General features: G+C 49.4%; 1 long non-coding RNA gene across 1 annotated transcript in view, besides 4 other annotated features; it reads right to left on the reverse strand.

Moving 5' to 3' along the window:
- Positions 1–3,521, reverse strand: part of LINC00469 (long intergenic non-protein coding RNA 469) — a 79,268-nt gene extending 75,747 nt beyond the window's left edge. Inside the window, exon 1 of the long non-coding RNA NR_027146.1 lies at positions 3,432–3,521. This is a non-coding gene — a long non-coding RNA (long intergenic non-protein coding RNA 469). The remainder of the gene's footprint in view (positions 1–3,431) is intronic.
- Positions 2,858–3,367: an enhancer, noted in NCBI's record as "NANOG-H3K27ac-H3K4me1 hESC enhancer chr17:71824013-71824522 (GRCh37/hg19 assembly coordinates)". NCBI's record gives its function as "activates a minimal SCP1, AML or CMV promoter by ChIP-STARR-seq in naive H9 embryonic stem cells {active_cell/tissue: H9 hESC(naive)}" and the evidence as "EXISTENCE:reporter gene assay evidence [ECO:0000049][PMID:30033119]".
- Positions 4,358–4,859: an enhancer, noted in NCBI's record as "H3K4me1 hESC enhancer chr17:71825513-71826014 (GRCh37/hg19 assembly coordinates)". NCBI's record gives its function as "activates a minimal SCP1, AML or CMV promoter by ChIP-STARR-seq in naive H9 embryonic stem cells {active_cell/tissue: H9 hESC(naive)}" and the evidence as "EXISTENCE:reporter gene assay evidence [ECO:0000049][PMID:30033119]".
- Positions 4,860–5,359: an enhancer, noted in NCBI's record as "H3K4me1 hESC enhancer chr17:71826015-71826514 (GRCh37/hg19 assembly coordinates)". NCBI's record gives its function as "activates a minimal SCP1, AML or CMV promoter by ChIP-STARR-seq in naive H9 embryonic stem cells {active_cell/tissue: H9 hESC(naive)}" and the evidence as "EXISTENCE:reporter gene assay evidence [ECO:0000049][PMID:30033119]".
- Positions 17,848–18,348: an enhancer, noted in NCBI's record as "H3K4me1 hESC enhancer chr17:71839003-71839503 (GRCh37/hg19 assembly coordinates)". NCBI's record gives its function as "activates a minimal SCP1, AML or CMV promoter by ChIP-STARR-seq in naive H9 embryonic stem cells {active_cell/tissue: H9 hESC(naive)}" and the evidence as "EXISTENCE:reporter gene assay evidence [ECO:0000049][PMID:30033119]".

Consider the following 20,207-nt stretch of genomic DNA (forward strand, 5'->3'; position numbering starts at 1 on the left):
CTGTGCCCAGCCTTGAGCATTTTACAGTTAGATTGTTCTTCAGGGTTGAGGGTGTTTTTGCAAACCATCTCACATGCCTTTGAGAAGATCGGAGGGAGGGCTGCAGGGGTGTGAGTGGTAGCCCAGGTGGACAGGAGCAGCCACGAGGGGCCCACCGTGAATCAGATCGTCTGTGGAACAGGAGAGAAGGGCCCTGCCACCTGCTCAGGCAGCCCCCACAGCAGATAGTTGTAGATTTCCAGAGCTTCAGCTTCCCTTTCAAGAGTGGAGGGGAAAAAAAGCAAGAGGAAGGCCTGGGGGCTAGGGCAACCCACCCACCAGACAATGATCACAGACCAGCCACCATCAGCCACAAATTCTGCAGCTCAGGTCTAATAGTAATCACTGGTGCTGTAAACATTTAAGCACCTACTGCCTTCTGGTACGCATATGGGCATCAGCATGGTAAGTAGCGAAGAGCATGGATGGACCCTTGAACCAGACTCCAGCTTGAATTCCAACTGCCACTTAATGGCTGTATAACCTTAATCTCTCTGTGACTTAGTTTCCTTGTGTATAAAGTGTGGGACCTACCTCATCGGGGTCACTATCCATAGCTTAATTTTTATAAAGTGCTTAGGAAAGTATTTGACACGTGGTAAGCACTAATATAAAGAGGTGTAAAGAAAAATCATGCCTATAATCCTAGCACTTTGGGAGGCTGAGGTGGGTGGATCACTTGAGGTCAGGAGTTCAAAATCAGCCTGGCCAACATGAAGAAACCCCGTCTCTACTAAAAATAGAAAAAAATTAGCTGGGCGTGATGGTGCACACCTGTAATCCCTGCTACTCAGGAGGCTGAGGCAGGAGAATTGCTTAAACCCGGGAGGCAGAGGTTGCAGTGAGCTATCGCACCACTGCACTCCAGCCTGGGCAACAGAGCGAGACTCTGACTCAAAAGAAAGACAAAAATTAAATTACCAGATTTAATCCCCATGGTAACCCTAAGAGGTAGGGACTGTTATCGTCCACATTAATAGACAGGACACTTGGAACACAGAGAGGCTGAGACCCAGGTCCAGAGTCACACAGCTCGTCTGAGGCAGAGCCTGGATTCAAATCCAAGCAGTCTGGCTTTCTGTAGGACTGTGTCCTCTCTCCAAGGGGAGGATGGAGCTTGACCACCTGTGTTCAGGTCCTGGCTTACCCATCAATTAGCTTGGGCTCCAATATCCTCCTCTGAAGTCAAGGAGGTTCCCCAGATGTCGTGGATGACTCCCATGAGTGGCTCTTAGAGGCCAGGAGGCCTGGGTGTCTAGTCAGTGTCCTGGCCTCAGTCCTGGCCTCTGGGACAAGGGAATTGTGGATAGGGGAGCAGCTGTCCCTGAGCAGGGTGGATGGATGTGGCAGTTTCCAGCCCAGCTCACTGCACCCGCTGTCAGCCGTTATTGAAACACATAGCCAGGGCTGGGTAACAAGACGGCCACAGAAATGATCTGAAGTGGATTTAATCATTGCCCTGGTCCCTGCCAACTCTTGTCCACTTAGGGGTTTTGCCTGTCTCGCTCGGACTTGACAGTCTGGACACTCAAGGTGATGAGCTGCCCAGAGCACCCAAGACCCAGACTCCACCCAGGACTGTCCTCTCCTGGACCACCTGCCTGAAACTTCCATCCTGACCCTTCTCCACCTTCTCAATGGGACCTGGGGTGAGAGCCCAAGCTGGGAGCGCCGGCCTGGCATTGTGTAGTTTAGACAAGTCCTTGAAGCAGGGCAGGTGGGGGAATGGGGAGGAGTCGGGGGCTCAGGCCCCCATGTTCCTCCCCAGCACAGCCTCACCTGCTCTGCCTCAGAGTGACTCAGGACAAAATCCCCAGGTGGCTCTGATGGTACTTGAAGTGACAGAGGGAAGGAGGAATCTGGAATGGAGACCCCAGCCCCAGGCCCTTGAGCTCAACCCAGCACCAGCCCCCAGACCTGTTCACTCTTTGGCCTTCCAGGGCCAGCCCCAGGCTGGGCTGTCACTGATGTGGGTGAGCAGGAGTGGTCCCCGTTCCTCACAGGGGCTTCTCTCTATGCACACCTCACATCATCCCCCGACCTCCAGGCATAAACCAGCCTTGCAGCCCTGACTCCAGACCTGTCCAGAGAAAGTGCCACCTGCCTGGGGAGCTGATGCAGATGAGAGGGAAGGAGAGAGAGACAGTGTCCCCTGCACCATGCCCTGAACTTCCCAAGGGACCTTCATCAAGCTCCCCTGGGGGCTGTATTGTTAAAATGCACAGATTCTTGGACCTCGACTCTGGACTTCCAGAAGCGAAATCTCTGCGGGGGTGGAGGAATTGGGCACTGATTCTAATGAAGTCCCCAGGGCAATCTCACCTGCTTTAGAGCAGAGGTTGGTACCCTGGCTGCACATCAGAGTCTCATGGGAAATCTAAACACATCCGTTCCAGGGCCTCACCCCCAGACCAAGCAGACCAGTGTCAGGGCTGGACATCAGGCATTCGTATTTTGTAAAAAATGATTAAAATGTGCACCCAGGGTTGAGAACTGCTTCAGAATTTGCAGACCTCCAGCTGGGTCTGACCCAGGAAAACAGGAAACAAGAGAGATGGTGTCAGCTGGGGCCCTTCACTGGTGGGGCCAGGTGGGTGGGGGGAACATCCCCACGATCCAGGCGACCCCCACCGCTGGCCAGGCAACCTCATGGCTGAAGGCGAGGAGGGACGCAGGCACGAGGGCCTTGGCGTAAGGAAGCTGGCTCTGCAGTCAGGCCCTGCCCTGGGGCTGTTCAGATGCCCAGGAGGGCAGGTTTATGCGAATGAAGCAATTACAGAACCATTTAAAAGAGTGAGGGAACTTGGTCCAGAAATGCCTGTGGAGCTTTCAAAAGGGGTGAGTGACCTCATCCAGCCAAGAAAGGGTCTGGGAGAGAAGCTGGAGGCCGAGGTCTTCAGTCTAGGCTAGGGGAGGGGAGAGAACGTTTAAGAGGGTGGCAGGCATTCCTGTCCCAAGTCACCAACTGGGTAGCGCTCTTGTTTGTCTTATGCAAGAGTGTTTAGATAAGAACAGGCTTTTGCATTTCAAAAAGGAGCCTGTTCTTCCTCGCCTTGCTTCTTCCTGTGCTGAGTAAACGGAAGGCACACCCTTGTTTCCCTCCCTATTCACAGCTCCTCTGTCCGCCACAAAGACAACCTCCTCCCCTTCTGCCCTCGTCTTCTGCCTGTGGACATTCAAGGGACCCCGCTCCTCCTTCATCCTTTCTCTCCTGCACGAATGAATCGTTTCCCGTGAATCTGCTCTTTGAAAAACCCCTTCCTAACTTCCATCTCTCTTCCTCTGCTCTCTTTGATGCCATCGCTTCTTAAAAGGGAGGCCTAGACTCACTGCTGTCTCACTTTTGTACGTTTATTTTCATCATGGTAAAATATACATAGCATAATATTTACCATTTGAGCCCTTTTAAGGTGTACAATTCAGTGGCATTTACATTCAAAACATTGTGCAACCATCCTGATGATCTATTTCCAGAGCTTTTTTTTTTTTTTTTAAATCATCCCAAACAAATTCTGGAACTGTGAGATAATAATGTCCCATTCTTTTCTCCTCCCAGTTCCTGGTAACCTCCATTCTTTCTGTCTCTATGAATTTGCCTATTGTAGAAACCTCGTGTAAGTGACATCATTCCATATGGGGCCTTTGTGTCTGGCTTATTTCACCTAACATCATGTTGCAGCAAGGTTCATTTCATTTCTTTTTATGGCTGAATAATATTCCCTCGTACAGATGGACAGCAGGTGTTGACCTATTCATCGGTTGTCTATTCGGCCTCCACAATCCACTGTTTTCATCCCTTCTTGCTGTCTCTACTTCTATGACCCTGGCCTAAGTCACCATTTTCTTCCACCAGAGTGCTCAGTGGCCTCCTCTGAGATTTCACTCTTTTTTTTTTCTTTTAAACAGCGTTATTGAAATGTAATTCATATATTATGTAATTCTCCCATTTAAAGTGGACAATTCAGGCTACTCTGCCTATGGAGTGGCCATGCTTTTGTTTCTTTACTTCTCTAATAAGCTTGCTTTCACTTAAAAAAAAAAAGTATACAATTCAATGGTTGCTAGTATATTCCATGTAGCTGCAATCGTCACCGTGGTCCATTTTACAGCATTTGTATCACCTCAAAAAGAAGCTCTGACCCTTCAGCTATCTCCCCTCCCCAACGCTCACCCTTACAGCCCTAGGCAACTAGTAATCTACTTTCTGTCTCTAGAGATTTGCCTCTTCTGGGCATTTTGTCTAAATGGAATCATACAATCCGTGGTCTTTTGTGAATGGCTTCCTTCACTTATCGTGATGGTTCCCGGGTTCATTCATGCTGTCCTATCGGCACTTCATTCCTTTCTATGGCCAAATAACTACCTCATTGTATGGATTCATTGGTGGACATTTATGTCGTTTCTATCTTTGGGCTATTACAAATAATGCTGCTTTAAACATTTTGTACAGGTTTCTGTATGAATATATGTTTTCGTTTCTCGTGGGTCTATACAGAGGAGTGGAACTGTGGGTCACACGGTAACTCTGTGTAATCGTTTGAGGACCTGCAGGCCACAGTGGCTGTCCTGCCTCCTCTCTTGCCTCTTTCAAAACTCCTCTTCACAGAGCAGCTGATGCGATCTTTCAAAAATGAACTTCAAATCATGTTTCATCTTTCTTGTAAAATCCTTCAATGACTTCCCAGCGTTCTTAGAATAAAACAAACATCATCACCATGGTCTACAAGACCCTGTGGCTGGGCACCAACTCCTTCTGGGACCATCCCTGCCTGCCTGTAGGGCTCCCGCTCCTTTGGGCGTCCCGGCCGCTGCTCCAGCAGGCCTAGGAACTTTCTCGTGAAGTCATCTGCGCTGGCTCCTCCCTCTGCTGGAACAGTCTTCGCTCTTGTTTCAGCCTCCTGTGGACGCTGTAACCAATTGCCATCAACTGGGTGCCTTCAAACAACAGAAATGGCTTCTCTCATCATTGTGGAGGCCCAGCTCTAAAGTCAAGGTCTTGCCAGGGGCCTGTTCCCTCTGAAGGCTGTGGGAGAGCATCCTCTTTGCCTCTTCCAGCTGCAGGTGGTTACCACCAATCCTCCGGGTTCCCTGGCTTGTAGCTGCATCGCTGCAGCCTCTGCCACTGTTGTCACGAGGCCATCTCCCTCTGCGTGTCTGTGCTTTCACTGTCTTTCCTCTGTGCATGGCTGTGTCTCTTCTCCCTTCATATGAGGACACAAATCATATTGGGTTAAGGGCCCATCTTACTCTAGTATGACCTCACATTAACTACATCTGCAATGATCCTATTTGCACATAAGATCATATTCTGGCAGGGCATGGTGGCACACGCTGCAATCCCTGCACTTTGGGAGGTCAAGGTGGGAGGATTGCTTGAGGCCAGGATTCAAGACCAGCCTGGGCAACACACTAAGACCCTGATTCTTTAAAAAAAAAAAAAAAAAAAAAAAATTCTGAGGTTCCTGGAGAAAATATGAATGGTGGTGGGGGCAGGGGAGGGCACTATTCAACCCTGTATAGCACAGTTCCTCATGTCCCAGCTCAGATTTCAACTCCTTCTCACCCACTATCCCCACCCCAGCTCCCCTCTCCCAGGGCACCTTTCTGGTTTCTTTTTGGCACCTTCACAAGCTGTAAGTAGGTGTTGTTGTTGGTTATTCATCCATTTCCCCTACTGGGTGAAAGCTCCCTGAAGGCTGCTCCTTGTCTATCAAGCTCATCACTCTGCCACTGTGATCCACTGCCTGATGCAGGGTGACTCTTCAGCAACGTGGAAGGAGACAGGGAAGATCCTGGTCCTGCAAGAGGAAGCCTGGACACAAGGTGTGCATGGGCCCCGAGCAGTCCACCAACACACGCTGTGGCGTGTATCAGCACTTCCTTCCTTTACATGGACAAATGCGATCCCATCATATGGACACACACACTCCGTTTATCCATTCACCAGTTGATGGACATTGGCATCGTTTCCATCTTTTAAAAAGAACATATAGTTGTACATATTTATGGGGTATAGTGTGATGTGTCCACACATGTATAGCTTGTGTAAGGATCAAATCAGGGTAATTAGCAAATTCATCACCTCCAATATTTGTCATGTCTTTGCGGTGAGCACATTCGAAGTCCTCTCTTCTAGGTATTTTGAAATATTCCGTACATTAGTATTAACAATAGCCACTCTTCTGTGCCAGAGAAGAACAGAATGTTTTCCTCCCATCTAATTGTATGTTGTTTTCATCATGGTGTCCACCGTGAGGCCTTGGCCTTTGGCGTACCAGTCACTGAGTGCTCAGTGGGTGACTCCAGCCCATCTCAACAACGTTGGTGACAGTGTCAGCTCTCAAGGGCAGGATTCAGTCATCCAACCCACTTTGCACCTCCAAGCATCGATGACAGGTGGGTATTCAGAAAACGTGCTGAAAACTTCATGGAAGCTACAGCTCGACTCCCAAGAGAGAAGCCTGTCTTTGAAGTGCCTGTGGAATGAGAATGACCTTCCTCTGTCAAACTTCCTTTCCAGTATGATGTTTTAGTCAATCCAGAGATGTATTCCTTCCTGTGCATTGGGGATGGACTTGCATCTGGGGAGGGTGTCTGGGGTCAGATCATCCCAGGCCACTAGGACCTGAGGTGTTGAAAATCCTGGAGGATCACTGCTGTACCCAGTGCATTGACGGCCCCACTCTCCTGGCCGTCTGCCTTCTACAGCCTCTGCTGAGATGAAGGCAATTTGGCTGGATGTGGTGAGGAATCTGTACAGGGAAGAGAGGCTGTTGCAGAGGAGGCAGCTGTAGGAGCGTCAGCACCCAGGAACGCACTCTCTGGAGCCTGGTGCAGAAATAGCACCCACTGCGTGTGGTGAGTGTCTGGTGTCTGGCATTCTGTGATGCTCTTCGGTTTTAAGACACCTGCCAGGAACAAAGTGGGGACTGGTAAACCAAGGTGCAAGATTGCAAAAGAGGCTCTACTTCCCCCTGCCTTCCTGTATTCTCATCCTTTGCAATATGACTTTGCATCTTCCCCCATCAAGAGCTGGAGTCTATTTCCCTCCCATATTAGCTTCCTAGGGCTGCTGTAGCAAATTGCCATAAAGCAGGTGGCTGAAACAACAGAATAAGTCCAAAGTCAAGTTGTTGGAAGGGCCATGCTCTCTCTGAAGGCTCTAGGGGAGAATCCACTCCAGATCTCTCTCCTGGTGTCAATCCTTGGACTTGCTTGGCTTGTAGCTCCATCACTCCAATCTCTGCCTCTGACTTTGTGTGTCTTTCTCACTGTGTCTCTCTGTCTCTGTGTCTTCCTCTCTTCTTACAAGGATGCCGGTCATTGGATTTGGAGCCCACTCTAAATCTAGGATGTTTGCACCTGGAGATCCCTAATTATTTACATCTGCAAAGACCCTATTTCCAAGGAAAGTCACATTCTGAGGTTCCAGATGGACACGCATTTTTTGGGGACACTATTCAAACTACTACACCACCCCTTGAATCTGAACTGGCCATTTGTCTTGCTGTGGTCAACAGAAGCTGGTAGAAGTGACAATGTGTCCACTCTAAGGCCATGAAGCCTCCACTCTTGACCGTGGAACACTAAGACCACCTGTGAACAAGCCTGAACTAGCCCATGGCCCAGCTAGGCCAACCAGCCTCCAGCCCACCCAGCAGTTGTGCAGATGAATGCAGCTGAGCTCAGTGAAGCTCAGTAGAACATCTCAGACCAGCTGAGTCCACTGTAAATTGGCAAACCACAGAATTGAGACTGAGTATATGGTTGTTGTTTGAGGCCACACCAAGTTTAGGGTTATTTGTTACACAGTAGTCGATGACTGATTCACAAGGTGTTATTGGTTTAGGGCAAATGGGAGATGAGTGCCATTTCTGGGTGCTGCCCACGTATAACAAAAACCAAAGTCTTGGCTGGGCGCAGTGGCTCACACCTGTAATCCCAGCACTTTGGGAGTCCGAGGTGGGAGGATCACGAGGTCAGGAATTCGAGACCAGCCTGGCTAAGATGGTGAAACGCTGTCTCTACTAAAAATACAAAAATTAGCTGGGCATGGTTGCAGGCACCTGTAGTACCAGCTGCTCGGGAGGCTGAGGCAGAAGTTTGAACCTGGGAAGTGAAGGTTGCAGTGAGCCGAGATAGTGCAATTGCACTCCAGCCTGGGTGACAGGGTGAGACTCCATCTCAAAAAAATAAAAAAATAAATAAATAAAATAAAATAAAAAACTAAAGGCTTGGATCTAAACCATCTACTAGTGGCAGGAAGTCTAGGCATCTTCTGAGCCACCCTCAGGATCAAATAAAGCTACTGGCTGGGTGTGGTGGTTCACGTCTGTAATCCCAGCACTTTGCGAGGCCGAGGCGGATGGATCATGAGGTCAGGAGTTCAAGACCAGCCTGGCCAAGATGGTGAAACCCCGTCTCTACTAAAAATACAAGAAATTAGCTGGGCATGGTGGCAGGCGCCTGTAATCCCAGCTACCTGGGAGGCTGAGACAGGAGAATCACTTGAACCCAGGGGGCAGAGGTTGCAGTGAGCCAAGATGGTGCCACTGCACTCAAGCCTGGGCGACAGAGTGAGACTCTGTCTCTAAAAATAATAATAATAATAATAATAATAATAATAATAATAATAATAATAATAAAGCTACTGAATCCCTTCACCAATGGAGGCACGCTCATATACCTCTTGGCATCTCTCTACAGTCCCCTTAATGTGCAGCCATGCACACAGTGGTGCCTATTAAAGGCATGGAGGTGGTGGTGGAGAACATGACAGAAGCTAGGTTCGTAGCCCATTAGAGTCATGAAAAAAAATGAGTAATTCCCAGCTTCTTCCGCTCACTGCCTCTCCATCTTCTGGAGCATGACAAGAGGCATATTCCTCCTGTGACTCGCAGTCACGTGGAAGCAGAGAAGCTGCCAGTTTGAAATCCCAGAGATGGGACCCCCCACCTGGCCAGGGCCACCGATTAAGAGCCCGAGAGCCAGCCATCAGCAGGAGCCTCAAAAATGCTGGCTGAAATTAATCACTTGCCTTGCAAGGGTATTTATTTTCTCCTTTATACCTGGAGAGAAATGGGCTGTGAACTGGAAATTTCCAGAGCAGTAGGCTGAACTTTTTGTGTGAATGGCAACGACTTTCTTTTAAAGTGCCACCATTTGCTCAGTTCAATTTCACCATTAAAGGACAATGGCCAATTTTCTGTGGACCTGGGATGTCGGTTTTGTCTAAAGCGTGAGCGTGTGGGGAATTTACTAACCTGGCTGTGATTGCCCATGAAAACAGGTTATTTAACAGGATTTAAATACTGTGCTCTGAAGCTCAACAGCAGTGAGGAGGCAGCCGGAGAATTGGAGTGGCGCATTTCCCTTCCAGCGCTAATGAGAGAAGGCAGGAAAAGCGAGCGTGATAGATAAGAGGCGGGCGGAGAGAGACAAGACAGAACTAGGGCCAAAGAGATGGGTGAGGGACCCCAATCAAGAGACAACGCCTGCTTTTAAAAAGGTGACCTTAAAATTCAGTCACTTGTTCACAGGTTTTATTCAACAAGTGTTTGTTAAAGGGTCTGCTGGGCTCAAGGTTCTCAGGTGCCATGAAAACCAAGCCCGCTACCAATTTTTGCAGGATTCTTGGAGGAGGTGTTTTGGAGCCGATTTTTAACTTAATTTTTTGATGCTTCTGCCAGTCGTTCCCTGCCAACCTTCTGAACTCTCCCTGCCTTGCTGGCTTGCTAAGTGAAGCCCTGAACAGAATATGGGGATGAGTGTCAGGAGGTTGGTCCTTCCATAAACTGACTCGAATCTTCGATTACGGTGTGGCCTCAGTTTTCTCATCTGTCAAATGGGAGTCATTATACCTAACTCACGTCTTCAGGCTTAAACAAGAGCGTAGGTAAAGATTCTGACACAATACCAGCTACTTGTGAGATGGACACAGCCGCCGTTTCCTTTTTCTTCCCTCTTGACATTTGCCAGGCTAGAATACGTCCTTTCTAAAATTTTGCTTAGGGGTGTGTCTCTTCCAGAAAGTCTTCCCTCTACCTAGGTGCTATTGAACTTTGGCATGGCCCTGCCCTTCGCAGCACAGGGCGGTGTCTAAGAGTGAGGGCTGGGGACGGGCTTTGAGATTCACATCTTGGCTCCCGGGCTCACCTGCAGTGTGATAGTGAATGAGATGTTTATCTCTTTCAATTCTCAGTTTCTCGTTAGAAACAGTACGTGCTCTGTAGGGCTGTTAGGGTTAAATGAGGCAGCCCATATAAAACGCTTTCCTGGGTCCTGGCACGTAGTATGTGTTCAATAAATGACAGCTGTTACCCATCATCCTCATGAACCATGACCCTGATCACCGGTGGTTTCCTAGAGGACTGCAAGTCTATTCTACAACTGCCATTAATAAAGAAATCTTTCTTCTTATTTGAAAAACAAAAGCAAAACACCCCTGCCCAAACCCACCTCAGTGAAATGCTGCCTGCCTCCTCTGCAGAGTCCTGCCCCTTCCAAGTAGAAAGAATTTTACTTCCAGGCTTAATTCGCCCAATTACTCCATCCGTTACAACTTACTCCTCTCCTCTAGTGTACCCAGAGTCTTTGAAGACAGACTGTACTGGGTGAGGAAACAGAAAATGCTCAATTTTCTATACAAACGGCAGGAAAGAAACACTTTTTTTCCACTGGGCTTGAGAATGAATTATGTGACCTCTCTACACCACAACCTGTCTCGCTTATTCTGTTTTGCTTACTCTAATTTCCAAACGGCTTTTCATTTCCTGCGTAAGCACTGTCTGAGATAGACGGTGGGGGACTGGACAGAGAAGGGTGGGAGTTAGGGGAGGAGGAAGCAGTAGTGGCTGAGCAGTATAATTCCCCCACAACACATTTTCCAAACCTCAAATCAGGACCCGGAGCCCTGGAAGATTTGCGTGCAAGTGGATTTGAGAGAAGGCAATCTAGGAGACATTGTTTGGTTGCTGAAAATATTGACGTTTCTATGGTTTATGAGAACAAAGGAATAGAATTCTTGAAATCAGAGCTGTTCTGAAAAGTCCAGGGAGTGTGGTGACCGTGGTGGGTCCAGGGAATCTCATCTTGAATTTTAAGTTTGCTACAAAATGAAAGATCAGAAGTGAATGACACGTCACAGTGGCAGTCTAGGGGCACCTGTAAGAGCTGAGCTTATTGTATGATATCAGGTTTTCTGTTATAGTCTCTCACTGCCCCAAACATCGACTATTTGTCATTATTTATCGATTAACGGTCATTAATTATTGGCATGCTATTTTCCTAATGGTGCTCCCCCCGCCTCCCCATCGCTCTATCCTGAGCTCCTGAGTGGGGTTGTGCCTGACTACTGTGTTCAACATCATGCCGTTAGGAGATGCTCAGTATACTTGTTGAATAAAATGGACACAAGTGTATTCCTGAAACATGCTCTTTACCTTGGTAGGAAGTGACCAGAAGAGTCAGCACCAAGAAATCTTGCTGTCCACTTGGGCCCACCAGCGGCTCTCCCTGCATACCTAGCCACCAGACTGGAGGAAACCAGCAGTAGTTGTGGATTGGACCCCACAGTCAGCCCCACTCAGGACTCCAGAAGATGTTTTGTCTGTTTGCTGTTTCTGGTGTGCGGATGCTTGTTTAGTGTTCTGGCCAGCCACTGCCCCACCCAGACTTTAGGCACCTGTGTGGCCATTGCCTGGGCCACACGGGAGCTGGTGGGGGCAGAGCCCTCAGTGTCTGTCTTCCTCATGTCTTTTCCTTCCCTGTCGGATACGGTTTGGCTGTGTCCCCACCCAAATCTCATCTTGAATTGTAGCTCCCATAATTTCCATGTGCTGTGAGAGGAACCCAGTGGGAGATCATTGAATCATGAGAGCAGTTTCCCTCATACTGTTCTCGTGGTGGTGAATAAGTCTCAAGAGAGCTGCTGGTTTTATAAGGGGAAACCCCTTTCACTTGGCTCTCTCATTCTCTCTTGTCTGCCGCCATGTAAGATGTGCCTTTCACTTTCTGCCATGATTGTGAGGCCTCCCCAGCCACATGGAACTGTAAGTCCATTAAACCTCTTAGTCTTTATAAATTTTTCTTTATAAACCCAGTCCCAGGTGTGTCTTTATCAGCAGCGTGAAAATGGACTAATACACTCTCCCTGGATCACATTAACACCTTCTCCCCCTGGGGTTCTGGCCTCCTCTGGGTCGTGTCCAACATGATCTGTCAGTCTCTGGTCAACAGTGATTTTCCAACGTGCCCCGTGTTGGGAAGAGATGAGGGGAGGAAAGTGTGGATCTTAAATATGGAGTGGGAAGAGGGAGGAGGGAGAACAAAATATATAGAGTTACAAAGGAGAGAAATTATATTATGACATGGCTATCAAACTATTCAAAAGAGCAAATCTGTAGTAATTTGTGTGTGGTTTTGTTTTTTTGTTTTTTGTTTTTTTAGACAGGGTCTTGCTCCAGGCTAGAGTGCAGTGGTATGATCTTGACTCACTGCAGCCTCAACCTCCTGGGTTCAAGCGATCCTCCCACCTTAGTCTCTCGAGTAGCTGGGACTACAGGCACATGCCACCATGCCTGGCTAATTTTTGTATTTTTTTATGTGTGTGTAGAGACAAGATTGTTCCATGTTGCTTGGGCTGGTCTTGAATTCCTGGGCTCAAGTAATCCTTCCGCCTCAGCCTCCCAAAGTGCTGGGATTACAGGAGTAAGGCACCAAACTTGGCCGATTTGCATTTTAAAAACTGAATATCTGTTCATTTGTGTGCTCCTTTATTAACATGTTAAATAGCAAGATTTAGCAGCAGGTCTAACAGGTCTAATGGCTACCATAATTTCAAAGTAGTGATGAGCAGAAACAATATTTTGAGATATCTACGACAACTAAAATGTAATATGAAAATATCTGTGTTTTCCATTGGTGCAAAAGTCTCGGTTGTTGCTAATATTTCTGTGGTTTGTTGTCCATCTTCATAACAGAAGTAAATGATAACTTTTATTTGAGGCCAGTGAGAATAAGGATGTATTATTCTCCACCCAAGTGTGCAGACCCCTTGAATTCTGTCATGGACTCTAAGGTAGAGCTCACATTAGGTTGGTGTATCTTTTGTGCTTTGTGCACAGAGGTGTCCGCTTTCTTACTAAAATAATTCCCAAGTCACAGAGAACTTCCTTAGCCTCAAGAGGCTGTAGGAAGTATGTATGGTAGGAGTGAGGGAATCACCATTTTCACCAGGGAAAAATGAATAGTTAACCTGTTTGGTTCAAAACAGATACCAATTACTTGAGGCTAAAGTCACAGGCTGCTGGAGAGCTGGTCTACTTCCAAACGGTATAAATATTTAAGTCCAGAGCCACAAGCGAACGGTGACAGAGGACCTGTCTGTCTCTGTGCCTGTCTCCATCAGCTCCCTCACTGGCTCCCCTGGGACCCTTCCCTCCTGTGAGCCCCCATGTCCCAAGGGGTGCTAGAGGCTTCAGCACTGCTGGAAGGGGACAAATTTGTGTTCTCCTGCATTCTTCTTAAAGCCATGCCCATGTCAAAGCAACGTATAGAGGCTCAGTGACCAGGAAGACTTTATTCTTAGTCCAGCTTTGTCACCTTACACCCAGGTGAATCTGGGCCCTGGAACATCAAGAGGCTTGCCCAGGTCGCACAGCCAGATAATGGTGGGCGTGACTCTAAACCATGTCACAGCATGCCCTCCAGAGCTCTTTCCAATCCACCTTCGAGAAACTGGGAAGACCCCTGAAGGTCATGGGGGTTGGGCAGCCTGTCCCCTGGGCTGGCTGTCTCTCCTGGCCCCCTGCTTTCCATCACCAGGGTAGTTTAATTCATGGCCTTTTGAGGCCCCCGTTCTGTCTGCTGGGGAACAGCTCTACTGCCAGCCTCCCTCGGGCTGTAGGCCACCATGGAGGATAGCAGGAGTCTCCACCTCCCTCCAAGGTGACAGCTGGAGGCAGCAGCCCACAGACAAGAGTCCGCTCAATCCCAGCCCTCTTCACTTGGCTGCCAGCCCAGCTTGGCTCTGCATCCCCTGGGAGCCAGCCCTCCAGCCCACCCTGGTACCGAGAAAGGGTAGATGGACTCAGGTCACAGGACATCAGAGGAGGCAGGCAGTGGACAACAGCTGCTCGGGAGGAGGCACTGGGCACTCAGGGTCCCGAGGCTGGGGTAGGGGTGGAGGTGTGGGTGTGGGGACAGTGCCAGGGAAGTTTGGCACTACAGTGGAGCAAAAGAACAGAAGGGGAAGAGGAGTTCCATGCAGTTGGGCATGTCACATAATTACAGGAGAAAAATCAGGCCAGAGCCTGGCTCTCTCTACCTCTGTCTGAGTGATCATCACCCTTATTATAAAGCAACTAATTATTAGTCTGGCTCATTAGCAATTATAAATCTCTAACTCCAGAACTTCATTTAAAAAATGAAAAGTTAGCACTTAATGATTTTCCTAACTGCTTAGATCATGCGCAGAGCTTACACATGCAGCTCCCGTGGTTCCTGGGAGCGGGGCTGGCCTTCAGGTACTGGGGAGGGGTCCCTGCTTTCCCATCCAGAAACCTGGATGTCCCCCCAGTGGCCGGAAATCAAGCGCTCTGAGATGTGAGAAGTGGAGAAAGAGCGGTGAACTTCCTTCTCCTTCTGTTTTCCAGTAAAAATAGAAACAATGTGTTTATTGAGCCTTTCTGCGTGCCACGTGCTTGGTGTTGTGATGCCTTATTTCATTTAAATCTCCCCATAACCTGATACTGTTCATCTCCATTCTATTGATGTAGCACTTGCAGTCATGGCACCTGCCATAGGATCATGAGCTGGATGACACCCAGGTTGCCCTGACTTAACCACTACCCTTAACTAAGCCCCTACCCTTAACCACTACCCCATGCTCAACCACAGCTCTCCATGGCTCTAATGAGGGAAGAGCCTTGGGTAGATTGATGGTTGTACCCTTTGCAAATGCTCCCTAAGATTGGACTGCTAGAGAAAGGTGGCCTGTTAGATCCTGGTGTGTCTTGTGGGTCCATGGTGTGTGGGCAGGTGAGTGGATGGAGGGAAGATTCCTTCCCAGTTACTAGGATGGACACTTTTCATTATCCTGTGGCTCTTTAAGGCTTTTCTAGCCTCCTCATCCTGCCCCAAACTTTTCCAATTCTTTGCTACTTCTTCCGTTTCTTGAGCACTCACTGAAGGTTGGAACAAAGCTGAAGAGGTTGCATGAGGAAGGCCCTGTTCCCTCAGGCAGCCCTTCCCTTTTCTCTTTCTTTCTTCCAGGTGGAGGGGAATGGCTGGAGCCAGGAAGAGCTGCCTGAGAGCCACAGGCAAAGGTGGGAGGCGAAAGGAAGACAGAGCATGGATGCTCAGGCCCAGAAGTTGGAGGAAACACCCACCTGGGCACGTGAGACCCCCATCAAAGCAGCCTAGCAAGACAAGATGATCCCAGAACAAGGGAGGGCCCTTGGGTTCACCCTAACTGTGTGCATTTGACAGTGGCAGTGTCTTCCCACCTGTGAAAGTAAGGGGTAGGGGTTAGACAGTTCTTCCAGCTCCGGTGTTGGTTTCTGTAAAGAACCTTCTGGTCCCGAGGCTGGGGTGGGGGTGGAGGTGTGGGTGTGGGGACAGCAATTCAAACAGACAGTCCCCATCCCTACAGTCTGAGATTCACAACCTTAGTTGGAAGCTGTAACTATAAAATACCCAAATCACAAAACTTAAAGAAATGAATGACTTATATGACTTTGTGTATTTCTACAGAGAAAAGGGAAGATAGCCATTAGATAGAAGAGTGGACATTAGTGACTCATGCATTTTGTCAGGGGTTCAAATTCCGGGTCTCCAAGTGACAAGGTCTAAAAAAATCTCAGAGTGGAACAGATTGGAGTACATATCATCAGATGTCTTGAAGATGTGGCATGGATAGAGCCTGTTCCTCTCATCCTACAAACCCAGGAAGGCTTCCTGGAGGAAGTGACCTCCACATCAGAGCCAGGTCAGCAGGCAGGGCAGCTAGATAGGGCAGGTGCCCAAATGCCAGCTCACACAGCTCAGTAGAAATCACTGGAATACTGCTAGAGATCCTGGTGAGGGTGAAAGGAATCTTCTGATGAGCAGCTTGGGGGATGCAAAAGTCCTGCAAGTAACTGCACTATCCTCCTTGCTCTCCAAGGAGAGCAAGAATCTGAGCATCTCAGAGCAGACCAGGCCCTTCCAGCCCAGTGTGGGGTAGAGAGCCCAGCCCCCTTGCTCTCCAAGGAGGATGGTACAGTTACTTGAGGGACTTTTGTATCCCCAAGGGGCAGAAAGTCTGGGGTCAAGGACAAATGACCAAAAGCTTAGGGCTGACACACATGGGGCACTTCTTAAATGCTCCACGTGCATTCAAGTCACTTAACTCAAATATTATCCTCATTGAACAGATGCGGAAACGGAGGCATGGAGCAATGATTACATAGCCTGGGAATGGAGGAGGCAGGATTTAAACTAGATGGTCTGGCTGCAGGGCTGTGTGACCTTCACATACTCATACTCATACTGTCCTACTCATACTGTCAGTATGACCTACTCATACTGTCTCTGGATGAAGAAGTTGTGCTCACCCTGAGGGAAGGGCAAAGGAGGGGGCTCTCCTGGCAGAATATTGGTTTCCTACTGTGCCCCACACTAACCTATAGCCCAGTGGCCACATTCCTCCCATGAGATGCTCCTGGGACAGCAAGAGGTCCCTGGAGGAGAAGTGAGCCCCTGGTGGGTCCCGACCATGTGGTACCTGTCTTTGAATCCCCACCTCCCAACAGTGCCCAGCATGGCCTGGTGGCACTGATGCCATGGAGCACAGCATCCTCTACTGACCAGAATGGGAACATGCCCCAGGGAGAAACCCAAACCAGAAGGAAGCCCAAGCTAATTAGGCCTCCAGAGTCATATGATTTTAGAGAGAGGCTCCAAGGAATTTCTGGGGCCTTGAGAACAAGGAGGGAGCAGGAAAAGAGATAAAGACAAGATGACTCCACTGATCCTCAAAGACACATCCTAAGTTCAGGATAAACAGGCAGGGAGGGTATCCCAGGGTCAAGTCCCCCAGCCCAGGGGTGCCCAGACTGTCTTGGTGGAGTAGAAACTTTGTATGTTTCAGAGCCCGAGGACAGCTGGAGTGGCTGATTGTGATGCTCCTGAGTGGCGGGGAGTGGGTAGCTGGTGTTGATAGTTGAGCCCTAGAGCTTGGGGCACACGATTAAGGGTTGAGATGGGTTAACGGGGCACCAATGGGGGAACACTAAGAAGAAATTCTGACTCAGTCCGGGTCAGCCCTGTGGTCCAAAGCAAATGGATCACCTCTCCACCTAGTGAGCTCCCTGTCTACTGAGGTATTCAAGAGAGGCTGGGCGACCCCTGGCAGGAATCAAGCACTAGGTGGAGGTAAGGCTAAAATGTAATTACCATCAGCCTGATAAGGTGGGTCTCCTTCTTAACCCATTTTTCCCTAAGAATCTGCAGGCACAGAGAGGTTAAGAAACTGCTTGAGATCACATAGGGCCAGGATTCCCTTCAGGCTGCCCCCAACTTCAGAGCTCTTGTGTTTAGGGCCACCCTTGCTTCACCTCTGTATGGCAACCTCACACTGGGCTGGAAGGACCTGGTCTGCCCTGAGATGCTCAGATTCTGTTAGAAAAGCCCCTCTGCCCGGGGACCCCAGAACCTTTTTGCTCCCTGCACGACCCCCCAAGCCTTCACCCCAAGCCTCTGTCTGGATTGGCCTTGCTAGGATAGAGGCCTAGATGGCGTTCTCTTGCTGAGGGCTGGTCAGAGGCCAGCAGTGCTCTGTCCTCCCCCGCTCCCCTCTGGCTGCCCATGGTGTGGCCCTCACAGCCCTGGGTGCCCCTCCCAGCCAACTGATTTTCTATGAAAGCTGTGGCAAGTGACGGCTTCTTGCCTGGGAACAGCACCTCTCGGCAAACTGACAGGTAATTGGCCCCTAAATCCCCCAGGAGACACGGGGAGGATGAGGAAAAATTACGGCTGTGGAACTGAGTCTTAAAAATTATATCACCTTTGCTGACAGTGTAATTACTCCTTTTTCTCAAGATTTAGTGCAGATCTCCAATCCTTAAACAGTTGAGGGATATTTTAAGGGTTCTCCTTTTCTGTTCTTCTTTTCCCCTTGGCCTGCAGAGGCTAGATTCCTGGCATTGGCCAGTTTCCCTGCTTCTTCTAGGAAGCAAAATGTCCCTGGGCTGGCCGTGCAGAGATCACGCAAGGTGGGAAGGGGAGATGGAGCATGAGAAAGGGGGCTTGACCCAGGAGTCACTGTGTTTGGGCCACCCAGGGCAGCCACACAGTCCTGTATGAACCCCTGGCCACCTGTTTGAATGTCAGGCAAGGTCCCTTGGCTTCCAGAAGCTCTCCCTAGCCAACGCAGTCAGTGCCCACCCATAGCCCCTTAGTCTACTGCAGAGGCCATCTGTAGGCGGGTCCCATCCTTGACCTGAAGGTGATCTTAGTCATGGAGCAGGCTGCCAACCCCTGTGGGTTCATCTTCATCCTCCAGGAGCAACCCCCAGCCAAAGTGGTAGAGTCCGTGGGAAGGACCCCAGTCCTGAGACATGTTCCCCACAGTCTCACAGAGGCTCCCCTGTGGGCCACGGGCCTCAGGGCTGGATTCTGAGCTGGGACTGGTACTTGTACCCAAACGGCCCTGAATCCCTCATTGAATCTCACTGGAGCTTCAGGAAGTTGAGGAGGTTGCCAGCCCCTCCTATCCTAGGTCTCTAATGCAGAGGGGCCCTCACCTTGGGGGGCAGGATGGGCCAGAGGCCCACAGCAGTGACCCACTCATTTACACACCTTCTACTGGCTTTCCCACCTTCCCTGCCGCAGTCTCCCCACTCCCCTCATGCCCCCAAATAAGCTACCTGCACCCAAATCCTTGTCTCAGCATCTGCTTTTGGGGAAACCCAAACTTGAGGCCCCCTCCCCTGAAGCTTGGCACTAGTGCTGTGTGGGCACCAACTTCTGGTTGGGAGCAGGTGTTTTCTGAAGGCAAAGGAATGGTTTGCATGGTCCAGGGGGCTCTTGTCCTGTTGGCTGCAACATACTCTAGAGACAGTGCCCCTTCTCTCAAAATTGAGGAAAGCGGTTTAGGGACCTGAACTCCAGAAACCACAATGTCTTTCTCCCTAGGAGGCTGTCACCCTCCCAAAGAAAGCCTTTGGGTCCACAGATGAAGGTCTTTCTGCATTAGATACCTAGGAGGGGAGGGACTGGTGGTCTCCTTAACTTTTTGAAGTTCTTGATCAGAGCTAATGTGGGATTCAGGGTGCTGTGGCTAGAAGCACCAGTCTTACTTCAGAATCCAGTGAGCTCAGGAATCAGAACTCTGGGATTTTGTCTTTGAATGACTGTCGGGATAGCGTCCTAACAGGTGGAGGCAGAGGGTGGGTACAGAGAATCGCAGGCCTGTGCTGACAAGGAATCGGATTTCTGCTGCTGTCAAAAAGGCCTTAAAATGGTCACCAAGCCCACAGCCAAGGACCAGTTTAGGAGATGAGACAATACGCTCGGGCCAAGGGACTCAAGCTAGCTCAAGATGGCATCTTTGGCCACTCCGAAGTGCCAGGCTTTGCACTAGACTCATGCCAGACTCATGAATGTCTTTGTTGTTCACGGAGATGCCTCGGTCAGGGCAAAGGCAGGATCTGGGCAGGAATTTAAGTTTCCCAAAGGTAGCCGCCAGACAGAATCTGCCTGTCCTTGGATCTTCTCATCTTGGAATCTCCAACAAGACCCCTGTGAGACCTGGAGCTGGCAGCAGGGCTAGCTTCCTAGTCCCAGCTCTCCTGACAAGTCCACACCATCTCATGGCCACTTCATTCCCACCTAACTATGCACTTTCAACATTACAGCTGTAACCCAATCCTGCAGCATCCTATCTCCTGGAGGGGAATGAAGGTAACTCACACTTATTAAGTATCTACTGTTTGCCCAGCACCTAGTATTTTACATATATGAGCTCACTCAACCCTCAAAGCAATTCTATGAGGAGGGTGTTATTATTATCCCCGCTTTGAAAATGAGAAAATGGAGGCACAGACTGTTTCACTGACTTGTCCAGCATCACACAGCTTCTCCATTGCAGAGGCAGGATTTGAACTCAGGGGGTCTGGATTCACAGT

This window comes from Homo sapiens, chromosome 17 (genome assembly GCF_000001405.40).
Source record: "Homo sapiens chromosome 17, GRCh38.p14 Primary Assembly".
NCBI lineage: Eukaryota > Metazoa > Chordata > Mammalia > Primates > Hominidae > Homo > Homo sapiens.